Source organism: Homo sapiens, chromosome 10 (genome assembly GCF_000001405.40).
Source record: "Homo sapiens chromosome 10, GRCh38.p14 Primary Assembly".
NCBI lineage: Eukaryota > Metazoa > Chordata > Mammalia > Primates > Hominidae > Homo > Homo sapiens.
Window position 1 is genome coordinate 42,529,015 of NC_000010.11, and position 15,095 is coordinate 42,544,109.

At 39.2% G+C, this 15,095-nt stretch overlaps 1 pseudogene across 1 annotated transcript in view, besides 2 other annotated features; it reads right to left on the reverse strand.

The window, feature by feature from the left end:
- Positions 1-15,095, reverse strand: part of ZNF37BP (zinc finger protein 37B, pseudogene) — a 39,361-nt pseudogene that overhangs the window by 15,505 nt on the left and 8,761 nt on the right. The gene's annotated exons all lie outside the window — the stretch shown is intronic.
- Positions 10,231-10,732: an enhancer, noted in NCBI's record as "H3K4me1 hESC enhancer chr10:43034693-43035194 (GRCh37/hg19 assembly coordinates)". NCBI's record gives its function as "activates a minimal SCP1, AML or CMV promoter by ChIP-STARR-seq in naive H9 embryonic stem cells {active_cell/tissue: H9 hESC(naive)}" and the evidence as "EXISTENCE:reporter gene assay evidence [ECO:0000049][PMID:30033119]".
- Positions 10,733-11,232: an enhancer, noted in NCBI's record as "H3K4me1 hESC enhancer chr10:43035195-43035694 (GRCh37/hg19 assembly coordinates)". NCBI's record gives its function as "activates a minimal SCP1, AML or CMV promoter by ChIP-STARR-seq in naive H9 embryonic stem cells {active_cell/tissue: H9 hESC(naive)}" and the evidence as "EXISTENCE:reporter gene assay evidence [ECO:0000049][PMID:30033119]".

Consider the following 15,095-nt stretch of genomic DNA (forward strand, 5'->3'; position numbering starts at 1 on the left):
TCTGATGGTAGTTTGTATTTCTGTGGGATTGGTGGTGATATCCCCTTTATCATTTTTTATTGCATCTATTTGATTCTTCTCTCTTTTTTTCTTTATTAGTCTTGCTAGCGGTCTATCAATTTTGTTGATCCTTTCAAAAAACCAGTTCCTGGATTCATTAATTTTTTGAAGGGTTTTTTGTGTCTCTATTTCCTTCAGTTCTGCTCTGATTTTAGTTATTTCTTGCCTTCTGCTAGCTTTTGAATGTGTTTGCTCTTGCTTTCCTAGTTCTTTTAATTGTGATGTTAGGGTGTCAATTTTGGATCTTTCCTGCTTTCTCTTGTGGGCATGTAGTGCTATAAATTTCCCTCTACACACTGCTTTGAATGCATCCCAGAGATTCTGGTATGTTGTGTCTTTGTTCTCATTGGTTTCAAAGAACATCTTTCTTTCTGCCTTCATTTTGTTATGTACCCAGTAATCATTCAGGGGCAGGTTGTTCAGTTTCCATGTAGTTGAGCGGTTTTGAGTGGGATTCTTAACCCTGAGTTCTAGTTTGATTGCACTGTGGTCTGAGAGATAGTCTGTTATAATTTCTGTTCTTTTACGCTTGCTGAGGAGAGCTTTACTTCCAAGTATGTGGTCAATTTTGGAATAGGTGTGGTGTGGTGCTGAAAAAAATGTATATTCTGTTGATTTGGGGTGGAGAGTTCTGTAGATGTGTATTAGGTCCACTTGGTGCAGAGCTGAGTTCAATTCCTGGGTATCCTTGTTGACTTTCTGTCTCGTTGATCTGTCTAATGTTGACAGTGGGGTGTTAAAGTCTCCCATTATTAATGTTTGGGAGTCTAAGTCTCTTTGTAGGTCAATCAGGACTTGCTTTATGAATCTGGGTGCTCCTGTATTGGGTGCATATATATTTAGGATAGTTAGCTCTTCTTGTTGAATTGATCCCTTTACCATTATGTAATGGCCTTCTTTGTCTCTTTTGATCTTTGTTGGTTTAAAGTCTGTTTGATCCGAGACTAGGATTGCAACCCGTCTTTTTTTGCTTTTCATTTGCTTGGTAGATCTTCCTCCATCCTTTTATTTTGAGCCTATGTGTGTCTCTGCATGTGAGATGGGTTTCCTGAATACAGCACACTGATGGGTCTTGACTCTTTATCCAATTTGCCAGTCTGTGTCTTTTAATTGGAGCATTTAGTCCATTTACATTTAAAGTTAATATTGTTATGTGTGAATTTGATCCTGTCATTATGATGTTAGCTGGTTATTTTGCTCGTTAGTTGATGCAGTTTCTTCTTAGTCTCAATGGTCTTTACATTTTGGCATGATTTTGCAGTGGCTGGTACCGGTTGTTCCTTTCCATGTTTAGCACTTCCTTCAGGAGCTCTTTTAGGGCAGGCCTGGTGGTGACAAAATCTCTGAGCATTTGCTTGTCTGTAAAGTATTTTATTTCTCCTTCACTTATGAAGTTTAGTTTGGCTGGATATGAAATTCTGGGTTGAAAATTATTTTCTTTAAGAATGTTGAATATTGGCCCCCACTCTCTTCTAGCTTGTAGGGTTTCTGCCGAGAGATCCGCTGTTAGTCTGATGGGCTTCCCTTTGAGGGTAACCTGACCTTTCTCTCTGGCTGCCCTTAACATTTTTTCCTTCATTTCAACTTTGGTGAATCTGACAATTATGTGTCTTGGAGTTGCTCTTCTCGAGGAGTATCTTTGTGGCGTTCTCTGTATTTCCTGAATCTGAATGTTGGCCTGCCTTGCTAGATTGGGGAAGTTCTCCTGGATAATATCCTGCAGAGTGTTTTCCAACTTGGTTCCATTCTCCCCATCACTTTCAGGTACACCAGTCAGACGTAGATTTGGTCTTTTCACATAGTCCCATATTTCTTGGAGGCTTTGCTCATTTCTTTTTATTCTTTTTTCTCTAAACTTCCCTTCTCGCTTCATTTCATTCATTTCATCTTCCATTGCTGATACGCTTTCTTCCAGTTGATCGCATCGGCTCCTGAGGCTTCTGCATTCTTCACGTAGTTCTCCAGGCTTGGTTTCCAGCTCCATCAGCTCCTTTAAGCACTTCTCTGTATTGGTTATTCTAGTTATACATTCTTCTTAATTTTTTAAAAGTTTTCAACTTCTTTGCCTTTGGTTTGAATGTCCTCCCATAGCTTGGAGTAATTTGATCGTGTGAAGCCTTCTTCTCTCAGCTCGTCAAAGTCATTCTCCGTCCAGCTTTGTTCCATTGCTGGTGAGGAACTGCATTCCTTTGGAGGAGGAGAGGCGCTCTGCTTTTTAGAGTTTCCAGTTTTTCTGCTCTGTTTTTTCCCCATCTTTGTGGTTTTATCTACTTTTGGTCTTTGATGATGGTGATGTACAGATGGGTTTTTGGTGTGGATGTCCTTTCTGTTTGTTAGTTTTTCTTCTAACAGACAGGACCCTCATCTGCAGGTCTGTTGGAGTACCTGGCCGTGTGAGGTGTCAGTCTGCCCCTGCTGGGGGGTGCCTCCCAGTTAGGCTGCTCAGGGGTCAGGGACCCACTTGAGGAGGCAGTCTGCCCGTTCTCAGATCTCCAGCTGCATGCTGGGAGAACCACTGCTCTCTTCAAAGCTGTCAGACAGGGACATTTAAGTCTGCAGATGTTACTGCTGTCTTTTTGTCTGTGCCCTGCCCCAGAGGTGAAGCCTACAGAGGCAGGCAGGCCTCCTTGAGCTGTGGTGGGCTCCACCCAGTTAGAGCTTCCCAGCTGCTTTGTTTACCTAAGCAAGCCTGGGAAATGGTGGGCACCCCTCCCCCAGCCTCGCTGCCACCTTGCAGTTTGATCTCAGACCGCTGTGCTAGCAATCAGTGAGACTCCGTGGGCATAGGACCCTCCGAGCCAGGCGTGGGATACAGTCTCCTGGTGCTCAGTGTTTTAAGCCCGTCGGAAAAGCGCAGTATTCGGTTGGGAGTGACCCGATTTTCCAGGTGCCATCTGCCACCCCTTTCTTTGACTAGGAAAGGGAACTCCCTGACCCCTTGTGCTTCCCAAGTGAGGCAATGCCTCGCCCTGCTTCGGCTCACGCACGGTGTATGCACCCACTGACCTGAGCCCACTGTCTGGCACTCCCTAGTGAGATGAACCCGGTACCTCAGATGGAAATGCAGAAATCACCCATCTTCTGCCTTGCTCACACTGGGAGCTGTAGACCGGAGCTGTTCCTATTCAGCCATCTTGGCTCCTCCCCTCAGTCCAGTTGACTAAGATGAAGTTCTAAATGGACCAGGCTAAGTGCTTAAAAAGTGCCCCAGGACAGAGCCAATTTGCAAATAATAAGAAAGGGGTTTTGTTGTATTTTTGTTTTAGTTTTTTGTTTTTTCTTTTTCTTTTCCTTTTTCTTTTTTGTTTGGTGGTGGTTGTTTGAAACCTGGCCTTCCAGGAAAAATGCCTGTTAAAACACTACCTAAACACAAGCTAAAGAGAGAGAATTCAGTGACCACACATAAGACTGCAAAAAAAAGTTTGAAAAATTCATAAAAACAAATGGATACTGAAGACTTCAGTAATTAAGAACAGCAAAGTCTAGAGAAGAATGAGAAAGTGATTTCTAAAGTTACTAAATTATAATATTAAAATACCCAGTTTCAACAGGAACAAGAAAATCACAAAGCATACAAAGAAACTGGAAGTGTTGTCCAATCAAAGGAAAAATAGAAATTGACAGATATATCCCAGAGGCAAACCAAACATAACACTTCTTAAACAAAGACTTTAAATCAACTGTCTTAAATATGCTCAAAAGCTAAAAGAAAACATACGAGCACCAGAGAGAACCATGAAACAACTTATAAACCAAATATCAATAAAGAGATTGAAATTATAAAAAAGCACCAAATAGACATTCTAAAACTAAAAAGTACCATAATTGAAATAATGAATTCACCAGAGGAGTTCAACAGCAGATTTGGGAATGCCAAAAATAATCTGTGAATTTAAGTATAAGACTATTGAAATTATCAAGTTTGAGAATCAGAGCAAAAAAGAATTAAGAAAAATAAATGGAACCCAAAGGACCTATGGGACACCATCAAGCTGACCAGCAAAAACATTATGGGAAATGTAGAAGAATACAAGAGAGACAAGGAAATAGAGTATTTGCCGAAAAGCCAAAATTAAACTCCCTAAATTTGGTGAAAGACACAAATCTACACATCCAGGAAGCACAATAAACTCAAAATAAACTCAAATACATCCACCAAGTCATGTTATAAGCAAACAGTCAGAAAAAAAAAATGACAGAGAATCAAATGCAAAGGAGAAGCAATTTGTCATATACAAAAGAACCTCAAAAAGATCATCAGCAGAAACCTTGGAGGTTAGAAGGCACTGGATTGATATATTCAAAGTGCTGAAAGAAAAAGCTGTCAGCTGAGAATTCTATGCATGGGAAACATGCCTGTCAATAATGAGGACATTCCCAGATGAACACAAGCTAAGGGAGTATGTTTTTACTAGATCTACTCTGCAAGGAATGCTAAAGGGAATCCTTTGGGTTGAAATGTGATTCACAACAAACAAGGGAACTGTTAAAAGATTATAAGCCAAGTTTTCATCTGGATTTGGTCTTAAAAGAGAAATTAGGATTAAATAAATAAGAAAAATGGCAGAGATTGGCAGAGTGGACAAATTTCTTCAAATAATGCATACAAAAATGTAATTAGAATGAATAAGATCGAGTATTTGATAGTACAACAGGGTGACTATAGTCAACAATTTTTTTTATTATACTTTAAGTTCTGGGGTACACTTGCAGAACATGCAGGTTTGTTACATAGGTATACATGTGCCATGGTGGTTTGCTGCACCCATCAACCCATCATCTACATAAGGTATTTCTGCTAATGTTATCTCTCCCCTACCCCACCACCCTCCAACAGGCCCTGGTGTGAGATGTTCCCTTCCCTGTGTCCATGTGTTCTCACTGTCCCACTTATGAGTGAGAACATGCAATGTTTGGTTTTCTGTTCTTGTGTTAGTTTGCTGAGAATGATGGTTTCCACCATCATCCATGTCCCAGCAAAGGACATGAACTCATCCTTTTTTATGGCTGCATAGTATTCCATGGTGTATATGTACCACATTTTCCTTATCCAGTCTATCATTGATGGGCATTTAGGTTCATTCCAAGTCTTTGCTATTGTGAATAGTGCCACAAAAAACATACATATGCAAGTGTCCTTATAGTAGAATGATTTATAATCCTTTGGGTATATTCCTAGTAATGGGATTGCTGGGTCAAATGGTATTTCTGGTTCTAGATTCTTGAGGAATCACCACACTGTCTTCCACAATGGTTGAACCAATTTACACTCCCGCCAACAGTATAAAATCGTTCTTATTTCTCCACATCCTCTCCAGCATCTGTTGTTTCCTGACTTTTTAATGCTCGCCATTCTAAATGGTGGGAGGTGGTATCTCATTGTGGTTTTGATTTGCATTTCTCTAATGACCAGCGATGATGAGCTTTTTTTCGTATGTTTGTTGGCCACATAAATGTCTTCTTTTGAGAAGCGTCTGTTCATATCCTTCACCCACTTTTTGATGGGGTTGTTTTTTTCTTGTAAATTTGTTTAAGTTCTTTGTAGATTCTGGATATTAAACCTATGTCAGATGGATAGATTGCAAAAATTTTATCTCATTCTGTAGGTTACCTGTTCACTCTGATGATAGTTTCTTTTGCTGTGCAGAAGCTCTTTAGTTTAATTAGATCCCATTTGTCAATTTTGGCTCTTGTTGCCATTGCTTTTGGTGTTTTAGTCATGAAGTCTTTGCCCACGCCTATGTCCTCAATGGTATTGTCTAGGTTTTCTTCTAGGGTTTTTATGGTTTTAGGTCTTACATTTAAGTCTTTAATCCATCTTGAATTAATTTTTGTATACGGTGTAAGGAGAGGGTCCAGTTTCAGTTTTCTGCATATGGCTAGCCAGTTTTCCCAACACCATTTATTAAATAGGGAATCAATTTCCCATTGCTTGTTTTTGTCAGGTCTGCCAAAGATCAGATGGTTGTAGACGTGTGGTGTTATTTCTGAGGCCTCTGTTCTATTCCATTGATCTATATATCTGTTTTGGTACCAGTACTATGCTGTTTTGGTTACTGTAGCATTGTAGTATAGTTTGAAGTCAGGTAGTGTGATGCCTCCAGCTTTGTTCTTTTTGCTTAGAATTGTCTTGGCTATCTGGGCTCTTTTTTGGTTCCATATGAAATTTAAAGTAGTTTTTTCTAATTCTGTGAAGGATGTTAATGGTAACTTGATGGGGATAGCATTGAATCTATAAATTACTTTGCAGTATGCCCATTTTCATGATACTGATTCTTCCTATCCATAAGCATGGAATGTTTTTCCATTTGTGTGTGTCCTCTCTTATTTCCTTGAGCAGTGTTTTGTAGTTCTCCTTGAAGAGGTCCTTCACATCCTGTGTAAGCTGTATTTCAAGGTATTTAATTTTGTTTGTAGAAATTGTGAATGGGAGTTCACTCATGATTTGGCTCTCTGTTTGTCTATTATTGGTGTATAGGAATGGTTGTGATTTTTGCACAATGATTTTGTATCCTGAGACTTTTCTGAAGTTGCTTATCAGCTTTAGGAGATTTTGGGCTGATACGATGGAGTTTTCTATATATACAATCATGTCATCTGCAAACAGAGACAATTTGACTTCCTCTTTTCCTATCTGAACACCCTTTATTTCTTTCTGTTGCCTGAATGCCCTGGCCAGAACTTCCAATATCATGTTGAATAGGAGTGGTAAGAGAGGGCATCCTTGTCTTGTGCTGATTTTCAAAGGGAATGCTTCCAGTTTTTGCCCATTCAGTATATTGGCTGTGAGTTTGTCATAAATAGCTCTTATTATTTTGAGATACATTCCATCAATACCTAGTTTTTTTGAGAGTTTTTAGCATGAAGCGGTGTTTAATTTTGTCAAAGGCCTTTTCTGCACCTATTGAGATATTCATGTGGTTTTTTTCATTGGTTCTGTGTATGTGATGGATTATGTTTATTGATTTGCCTATATTGAACCAGCCTTGCATCCCAGGGATGAAGCCAACTTGATTGTGGTGGATAAGCTTTTTGATGTGCTGCTGGATTTGGTTTGACAGTATTTTATTGAGGATTTTTGCATAGATGTTCTTCAGGGATATTGGCCTGAAATTTTCTTTTTTTGTTGTGTCCCTGCAAGGTTTTGGTATCAGGACGATGCTGGCCTCATAAAATGTGTTAGAGAGGATTCCCTCTTTTTCTATTACTTGGAATAGTTTCAGAGGGAATGGTATCAGCTCCTCTTTGTACCTCTGGTAGTATCTGGCTGTGAATCCGTCTGGTCCTAGACCTTTTTTGGTTGGTAGGCTATTACTGCCTCAATTTCAGAATTTGTTATTGGTCTATTCAGGGATTTGACTTCTTCCTGCTTTAGACTTGGGAGGGTGTATGTGTCCAAGAATCTATCCATTTCTTCTAGATTTTCTAGTTTATTTGCATAGAGGTGTTTATAGTATTATCTGATGGTAGTTTGTATTTCTGTGGGATCAGTAGTGATAGCCCCTTTATCATTTTTTATTGCATCTATTTGATTCTTCTCTCTTTTCTTCTTTATTCTTCTGGCTATTCTATTTTGTTGATCTTTTCAAAAAACCAGCTCCTGGATTCATTGATTTTTTGAAGGGTTTTTCGTATCTCTATCTCCATCAGTTCTGCTCTGATCTTAGTTATTTCCTGTCTTCTGCTAGCTTTCGAATTTGTTTGCTCTTGCTTCTCTAGTTCTTTTAATTATGATGTTAGGGTGTCTATTTTACGTCTTTCCTGCTTTCTGTTGTGGGCATTTAGTGCTAAAAATTTCCCTCTAGACGCTACTTTAAATGTGTCCCAGAGATTCTGGTACGTTGTGTCTTTGTTCTCATTGGTTTCAAATAACTTCTTTATTTCTGCCTTAATTTCATTATTTACCCAGCAGTCATTCAGGAGCAGGTAGTTCAGTTTTCATGTAATTGTGCAGTTTTGAGTGAGATTCTTAATCCTGATTTCTAATTTGATTGCACTGTGTTCTGAGAGACTGTTAAGATTTCCATTCTTTTGCATTTGCTGAGGAGTGTTTTACTTCCAATTATGTGGTCAATTTTAGAATAAATATGTTGTGGTGCTGAGAATAATATATATTCTGTTGATTTGGGTGGGAGAGTTCTGTAGATGTGTCTTAGGTCTGCTTGGTCCAGAGCTGAGTTAACATTCTGAATATCCTTGTTAATTTTCTGTCTTGTTGAACTGTCTAATATTGAGACTGGGCTGTTAAAGTCTCCCACTATTATTGTGTGGGAGTCTAAGTGTCTTTGTAGGTCTCTAAGAACTTGCTTTATGAATCTGGGTGCTCCTGTATTGAGTGCATATATATTTAGGATAGTTAGCTCTTCTTGTTGCATTGATCCCTTTACCATTATGTAATGCCCTTCTTTGTCTCTTTTGATCTTCATTGTTTTAAAGCCTGTTTTATCAGAGACTAAGATTGTAACCTCTGTTTTTTTTGCTTTCCATTTGCTTGGTAAATATTCCTCCATCCCTTTATTTTGATGTGTGTCTTTGCACATGAGATGGGTCTCCTGAATACAGCACACTGATGGGTGTTGACTCTTTATCCAATTTGCCAGTCTGTGTCTTTTAATTGGGGCATTTAGCCCATTTACATTTAAGGTTAATATTGTTATATGTGAATTTGATCCTGTCATTATGATGCTAGCTGGTTATTTTGCCCATTAGTAGATGCAGGTTTTTCATAGTGTCAATGGTCTTTACAATTTGGTATGTTGTTGCAGTGGCTGGTACTGGTTGTTCCTTTTCACGGTTAGTGCTTCCTTCAGGAACTCTTGTAAGGCAGGCCTGGTGGTGACAAAATCTCTCAGAATTTGCTTGTCTGTAAAGGATTTTATTTCTCCTTCGCTTATGAAGCTTAGTTTGGCTGGATATGAAATTCTGGGTTGAAAATTCTTTTAAGAATGTTGAATATTGGCACCCACTCTTTTCTGGCTTGTAGGGTTTCTGCAGGGAGATCTGCTGTTAGTCTGATGGGCTTCCCTTTGTGGGTGACCTGACCTTTCTCTCTTGCTGCCCTTAAAATTTTTTCCTTCATTTCAACCTTGCTGAATCTGATGATTATGTGTCTTGGGGTTGCTCTCTTCAAGGAGTATCTTTGTGGTATTCTCTGTATTTCCTGAATTTGAATGTTGACCTCTCTTGCTAGGTTGGGAAAGTTCTCCTGGATAATATCCTGAAGGGTGTTTTCCAACTTGGTTCAATTCTCCCCGTCACTTTCAGGTACACCAATCAAACATAGATTTGGTCTTTTCACATAGTTCCATATTTCTTGGAAGCTTTGTTCATTCCTTTTTGTTCTTTTTTCTGTAATCTTGTCTTCTCACTTTATTTCATTAATCTGATCTTCAATCTCTTATATCCTTTCTTCTGCTTGATTGAGTCAGCTATTGATACTTGTGTATGCTTCATGAAGTTCTCGTGCTGTGTTTTTCAGCTCCATCAGGTGATTTATGTTCTTCTCTAAACTGGTTATTCTAGTTAGCAATACGTCTAATCTTTTTTCAATGTTCTTAGCTTCCTTGCATTGGGATAGAACATGCTCCTTTAGCGTGGAGTAGTTAGTTATTACCTACCTTCTGAAGCCTACTTCTGTCAATTTGTCAAACTCATTCTCCATCCAGTTTTCTTCCCTTGCTGGCAAGGAGTTGTGATCCTTTGGAGGAGAATAGGCATTCTGGTTTTTGGAATTTTCTGCCTTTTGCACTGGTTTCTCCCCATCTTCATGGATTTCCTTACCTTTGGTGTTTGATGTTGGTGACCTTCAGATGGGGTCTCTGAGTGGATGTCCTTTTTGTTGATGTTGATGTTATTCCTTTCTGTTTGTTAGTTTTCCTTCTAACAGTCAGGCCCCTCTGCTGCAAGTCTGCTGGAGTTTGCTGGAGTTCCACTCCAGACCCTCTTTGCCTGGGTATCACCAGCAGAGGCTGCCAAACAGCAAAGATTGCTGCCTGTTCCTTCCTCTGGAAGCTTTGTCCCAGAGGGTCACCTGCCAGAGGCCAGCTGGAGCTCTCCTGTATGAGGTGTCTGTTGGCCCCTACTGGAAGGTGTCTCCCAGTCAGGAGACATGGGGGTCAGTGACCCATTTGAGGAGGCAGTCTGACCTTTAGCAGAGCTTGAACGCTGTGCTGGGAGATCTGCTGCTCTCTTCAGAGCCATCAGGAAGCAACCTTTAAGTCTGCTGAAACTGTGCCCACAGCCGCCCCTTCCCCCAGGTGCTCTATCCCAGGGAGATGGGGCTTTTATCTATAAGCCCCTGACTGGGGATGCTGCCTTTTTTGTCAGAGATGCCCTGCCCAGAGAGGAGGAATCTAGAGAGGCAGTCTCAGCCTTGCTGAGCTGTGGTGTGTTCCACCCAGTTCAATCTTCCAGGCAGCTTTGTTTACACTGTGAGGGTAAAACTGCCTACTCAAGCCTCAGCCATGGCAGATGGCCCTCCTCCCACCAGGTTCGAGTATCCCAGGTTGAGCTCAGACTGCTGGGCTGGCAGTGAGAATTTCAAGCCAGTGGATCTTAGCTTGCTGGGCTCCGTGGGGGTAGGACCTGCCGAGCCAGGCCACTGGCTCCTGGCTTCAGCCCCCTTTCCAGGGGAGTGAATGGTTCTGTCTCACTGGTGTTCCAGGCACCACTGGGGTATGAAAAAAAAGCTCCTGCAGCTAGCTTGGTGTCTGCCCAAACGGCTGCCCAGTTTTGTGCTTGAAACCCAGGCCCTGGTGGCATAGGCACCAGAGAGAATCTCCTGGTCTGCAGGTTGTGAAGAGTGTGTGAAAAGTGCAGTATCTGGGCCAGAGTGCACCATTCCTCATGGCTCAGTCCCTAATGGCTTCCCTTGGCTAGGAGAGGGAGTTCCCAGACCCATTGCACTTCCTGGGTGAGACGACGCCCCATCCTGCTTCGGCTCACCCTCCATGGGCTGCACTGACTGTCCCACTGGTCCCAGTGAGATGACCCAAGTACCTCAGTTGAAAATGCAGAAATCACCCGCATTCTGCGTCAATCTCTCTGGGAGCTGCAGACCAGAGCTGTTCCTATTTGGCCATCTTGACACAAATCCCCAAAATAATTTATTGTACATTTTAAAATAAGAGTATAATTTGATTGTAACACAAAGAAAGGATAAGTGCTGTAGTTGATGGATACCCCACTCACTCTGATGTGATTTTACACATTGTAGGCCTATATCAAAATATCTCATGTATATAAATCACATAAATATATATACTCACTATGTATCCATAAAAATTATAAACAGAAAATAAGGGGAACAAAAGAAAAAGATCTAACCATAAGCTGTCTCCAAGAAACTCATAGTAGATCCAAAGCCAGTAAGCTGAATGCGAAAGGGTGAAGAAAGATATTTATGCAAATAATAACCAAAAGAGTGCTGGGTAGCTACACTAATACTAGAAAAACAAAAAACAACAACAAAAAAAAACAGACTTTAAGTAAAAAACTGTTATAAGAGACAAAGAAGGACATTATACAACTGGAAAAGTGTTAATAAAAAAAATCAATTGCAAACATACGTAGATCAAAGAAAATAGAACCAAACATATAAAGCAAACACTGACAGATTTAAATGAAGAAATGCAGAGTTCGGTAATAATAGTTGGACACTTCATTGCTCTGCTTTCATTAATGGATAGAATATCCAGACAGAAGATCAGTAAGAAAACAGAGTATTTGAATAATGGTATAAACCAAGTAGGCCTAAGAGAAGTATGTGGAATACTCTACCTACCAATAGCAAAATATGCATTATTCTCAAGTGCACAAGAAACATTGTACAGGGAAGCCCACAGATTAGGGCACAAAATAAATCTCAGTAAATTTAAAAAGACTGAAATAATAAAAATATATATATATTTTCTGACCATAATAGGATAAAGCTAGAAATCAGTAATAGAAAAAAATTTTTAACGTGGATATTAAAGTTTAATGATCAAATAAGAAAGCACAAAGGAAATTTAAAAATACTTAGAAACAGGTGAAAAAGTAAAGAGACTGTATCACAACTTATGGGATGCAGCCAAGAATATGCCTATAAGGAGATTTATAGCAATAAATGCCTATTTTCAAAAAGAAAGAAATCAATAACTTTACACTTTCAGCAACTAGCAAAGAAGGATCAAACTAAACCCAAAGCTAGCAGAAGGAAGGATATAATACATATTACAGCAAAGATAAGTGAACAGAAAATAGAAAACTACAGAGAACCAAAAAATCCAAAAGCTGATTCCTTAAATAGAACAAAATTCATAAGCTTTTAGCTAGATTGACTAAAGAAAAAAAATTCAAAGGACTAAAATCAGCAATGAAAGTGACATTACAAAAAAAAATGGGTTATAAGAGAATACTATGAACAACTGTACACTAATAAATTAAGTAACTCAATGAAATAGACACATTTCCTAGAAGCACACACATTACTAAAACTGACTCAAGAAGAAACAGAAAATCTCAACATACTTATAACAAGTAAAGAGATGTATCAGTAATTTTTTAAAAAACTGCCCAAGGGAAAAAAATCCAGCGTAAGATGGCTTCACTGGTCAATTCTATCAAATTAAAGAAGTAATACTAATCTTCCTCAAACATTTCCAAAAATTAGAAGGGAATACTTCCTAACTAATTCCCATGAGTTTTATAATGCTGGCCAGCATTATCTTGATACCAAAGCCAAAAAAAGACTTCACAGGAAAATAAAATTACAGGCTAATATCCCTTATGAATACAGATGTAAAAAATTATAAAATACTAGCAAACAAAATTTGGCAGCATATTAAAAACATTACATACTATGACCAAGTTGGATCTATCCCAGGAATGCAAGAGTGGTTCAATATAAGAAAATTAATCAGTGTAAGACACCACATTAATAAAACAAATGAATAAACACGTGATCATATCAATGAGGCAGAAAAAAATACAAAACCCAATACCATTCAAGGATAATAAAAGTCAGAAAACAGAGGAAAGGAAGCAAAGTTCTTCAACATAATAAAGTGCATATATAAAAAACTCACAGGTAACATACTCCATAGTGAAAGACTGAAACATCCCCTCTAAGATCATGAACAGGCAAAGCATAGTGCTTTCACCACTGCAATTCAACACTGTATTAAAAGTTCTAGCCAGAGCAAATAGGCAAGAAAAAGAAATAAAAGACATTCAAATTGAAAGGCAGAAGTAAAACTACTCTATTTGCAGATAACATTATTTAGCAAATAATCCACAAAAAAACTATGAGCTAACAAATGGTTTCGGCGAAGTTGCAGAGTACAAAATCAACACATAACAATTAGGTTTTCTGTAAAAAAAAAAACTCCAACAATGAACTATCCAAAAGGAAATTCAGAAAATAATCCCATTTATGATAGTATCCAGTAGAATAAAATACTTAAGTGTTATGGTCTGAATGTTTGTGCCCTTCACAACTTCATATGTTGAAATCTAATACCATTGCAATAGTATGAAGAGGCATGGCCTTTAGGAGGTGATTAGGAAGCTCTGCCTTCCTTCATGAATGAGATAAGTGTCCTTATAACTTAATGGACAAAGTAGTGGCTTCACAACCTGGAGAGACAGGTTTAGATACTGTGCTGCCAATAAGCAGAAATTTTATTTTTGATAAGCTTACATAAAGTAATAATGTTTTTCCAAAAATAAGACTTTGTCAAATGGCCCCTTTTAACTTCTAAAATTTTTTAATACATCAAATCTGATTTGAATATTTAATATAGCAAGTATGGATAATTCCAGGAAGATGGTGATCTAAGGGATCAAACCAGAGCTGAGGAGACAGGTAGCACTGGCAGGTTTAAGAGATTAGATACAGGCTGGGCGCAGTGGCTCATGCCTGTAATCCCAACACTTTGGGAGGCCAAGGCGGGCAGATCACCTAAGGTTGGGAGTTCGAGAACAGCCTGACCAACATGGAGAAACCCCGTCTCTACTAAAAATACGAAAGTATCCAGTCATGGTGGCACATGCCTCTAATCCCAGCTACTTCAGAGGCTGAGGTAGGAGAATCGCTTGAACCCAGAAGGTGGAGGTTGCAGTGAGCTGAGATCATGCCATTGCACTCTGGCCTGGGCACCAAGAGTGAAACTCCATCTCAAAAAAAAAAAAAAAAGATTGGATACAAACAGGGAGAAGGAGCAAATAAATATTGTGGATAATGATATAGCCTGGTTTCTCACTATTGGAGAAAGAAGTTACAAAGATGGAAAACAGAAAGGCTATGGGGTTAAGATTGAAACTGGGAAATGTCTATGTAAACTCATTGTTTAAAAAATATGTATAGACAGACCAATACAAAAATAAGTGTACACATGTGTATTTCTGTGTATGTGTATGTACACATACATACATGTATTTCCTATCTCTGTCAATTGAGAGGGTCTGAGGCAGTGACAGCCTCTAGCAATGAGCACCCAGATCTTGGTTTTTAAATTCCATCCTCCACTAGAAAGAACAATGTCCTTTGGAGAAATGGCTGATGGCAAAGGTAGTGCAGGAAAAGGACAAGATGGGCCAGGCATATCTGTTGTGCCACAGAGTAATTACTCAAAAATTGATGTGGGAAGCAGGCTGAAAATGGAATAGGTAATTCCAAAATTCCATCCCAAACTAAAGCAACAATTAAGCTGGAAAAACAAAAAAAACCCTCTCAGCATCAAGCTTTTCAGAATTCTCCAATCTAATTAAAAACCTAGTAAGCCCAGAACATTTCTGGCGTGGCTTGCTGATGCCTGTGCCAAAGTGGACAGTATGCACTTTGTTTTCAGAGAACTGTAGTTGTGTGTTTTGATCTGTCTATGCGGGCTCTCTGAAGAAGTGGCTCACAGGCTTGTCTTTGTTTTGCCTGCCTTGGAACTTTCTCAGGGCTAGTCTTCCAGGAAGTGCTAGTTGAAAGCATTTAAAGGCAATTATCTGGCCTCAGCAGCCAGATGAGAAAAGCAGCAGATGGACTGATAAAACTGGGAGTGGAA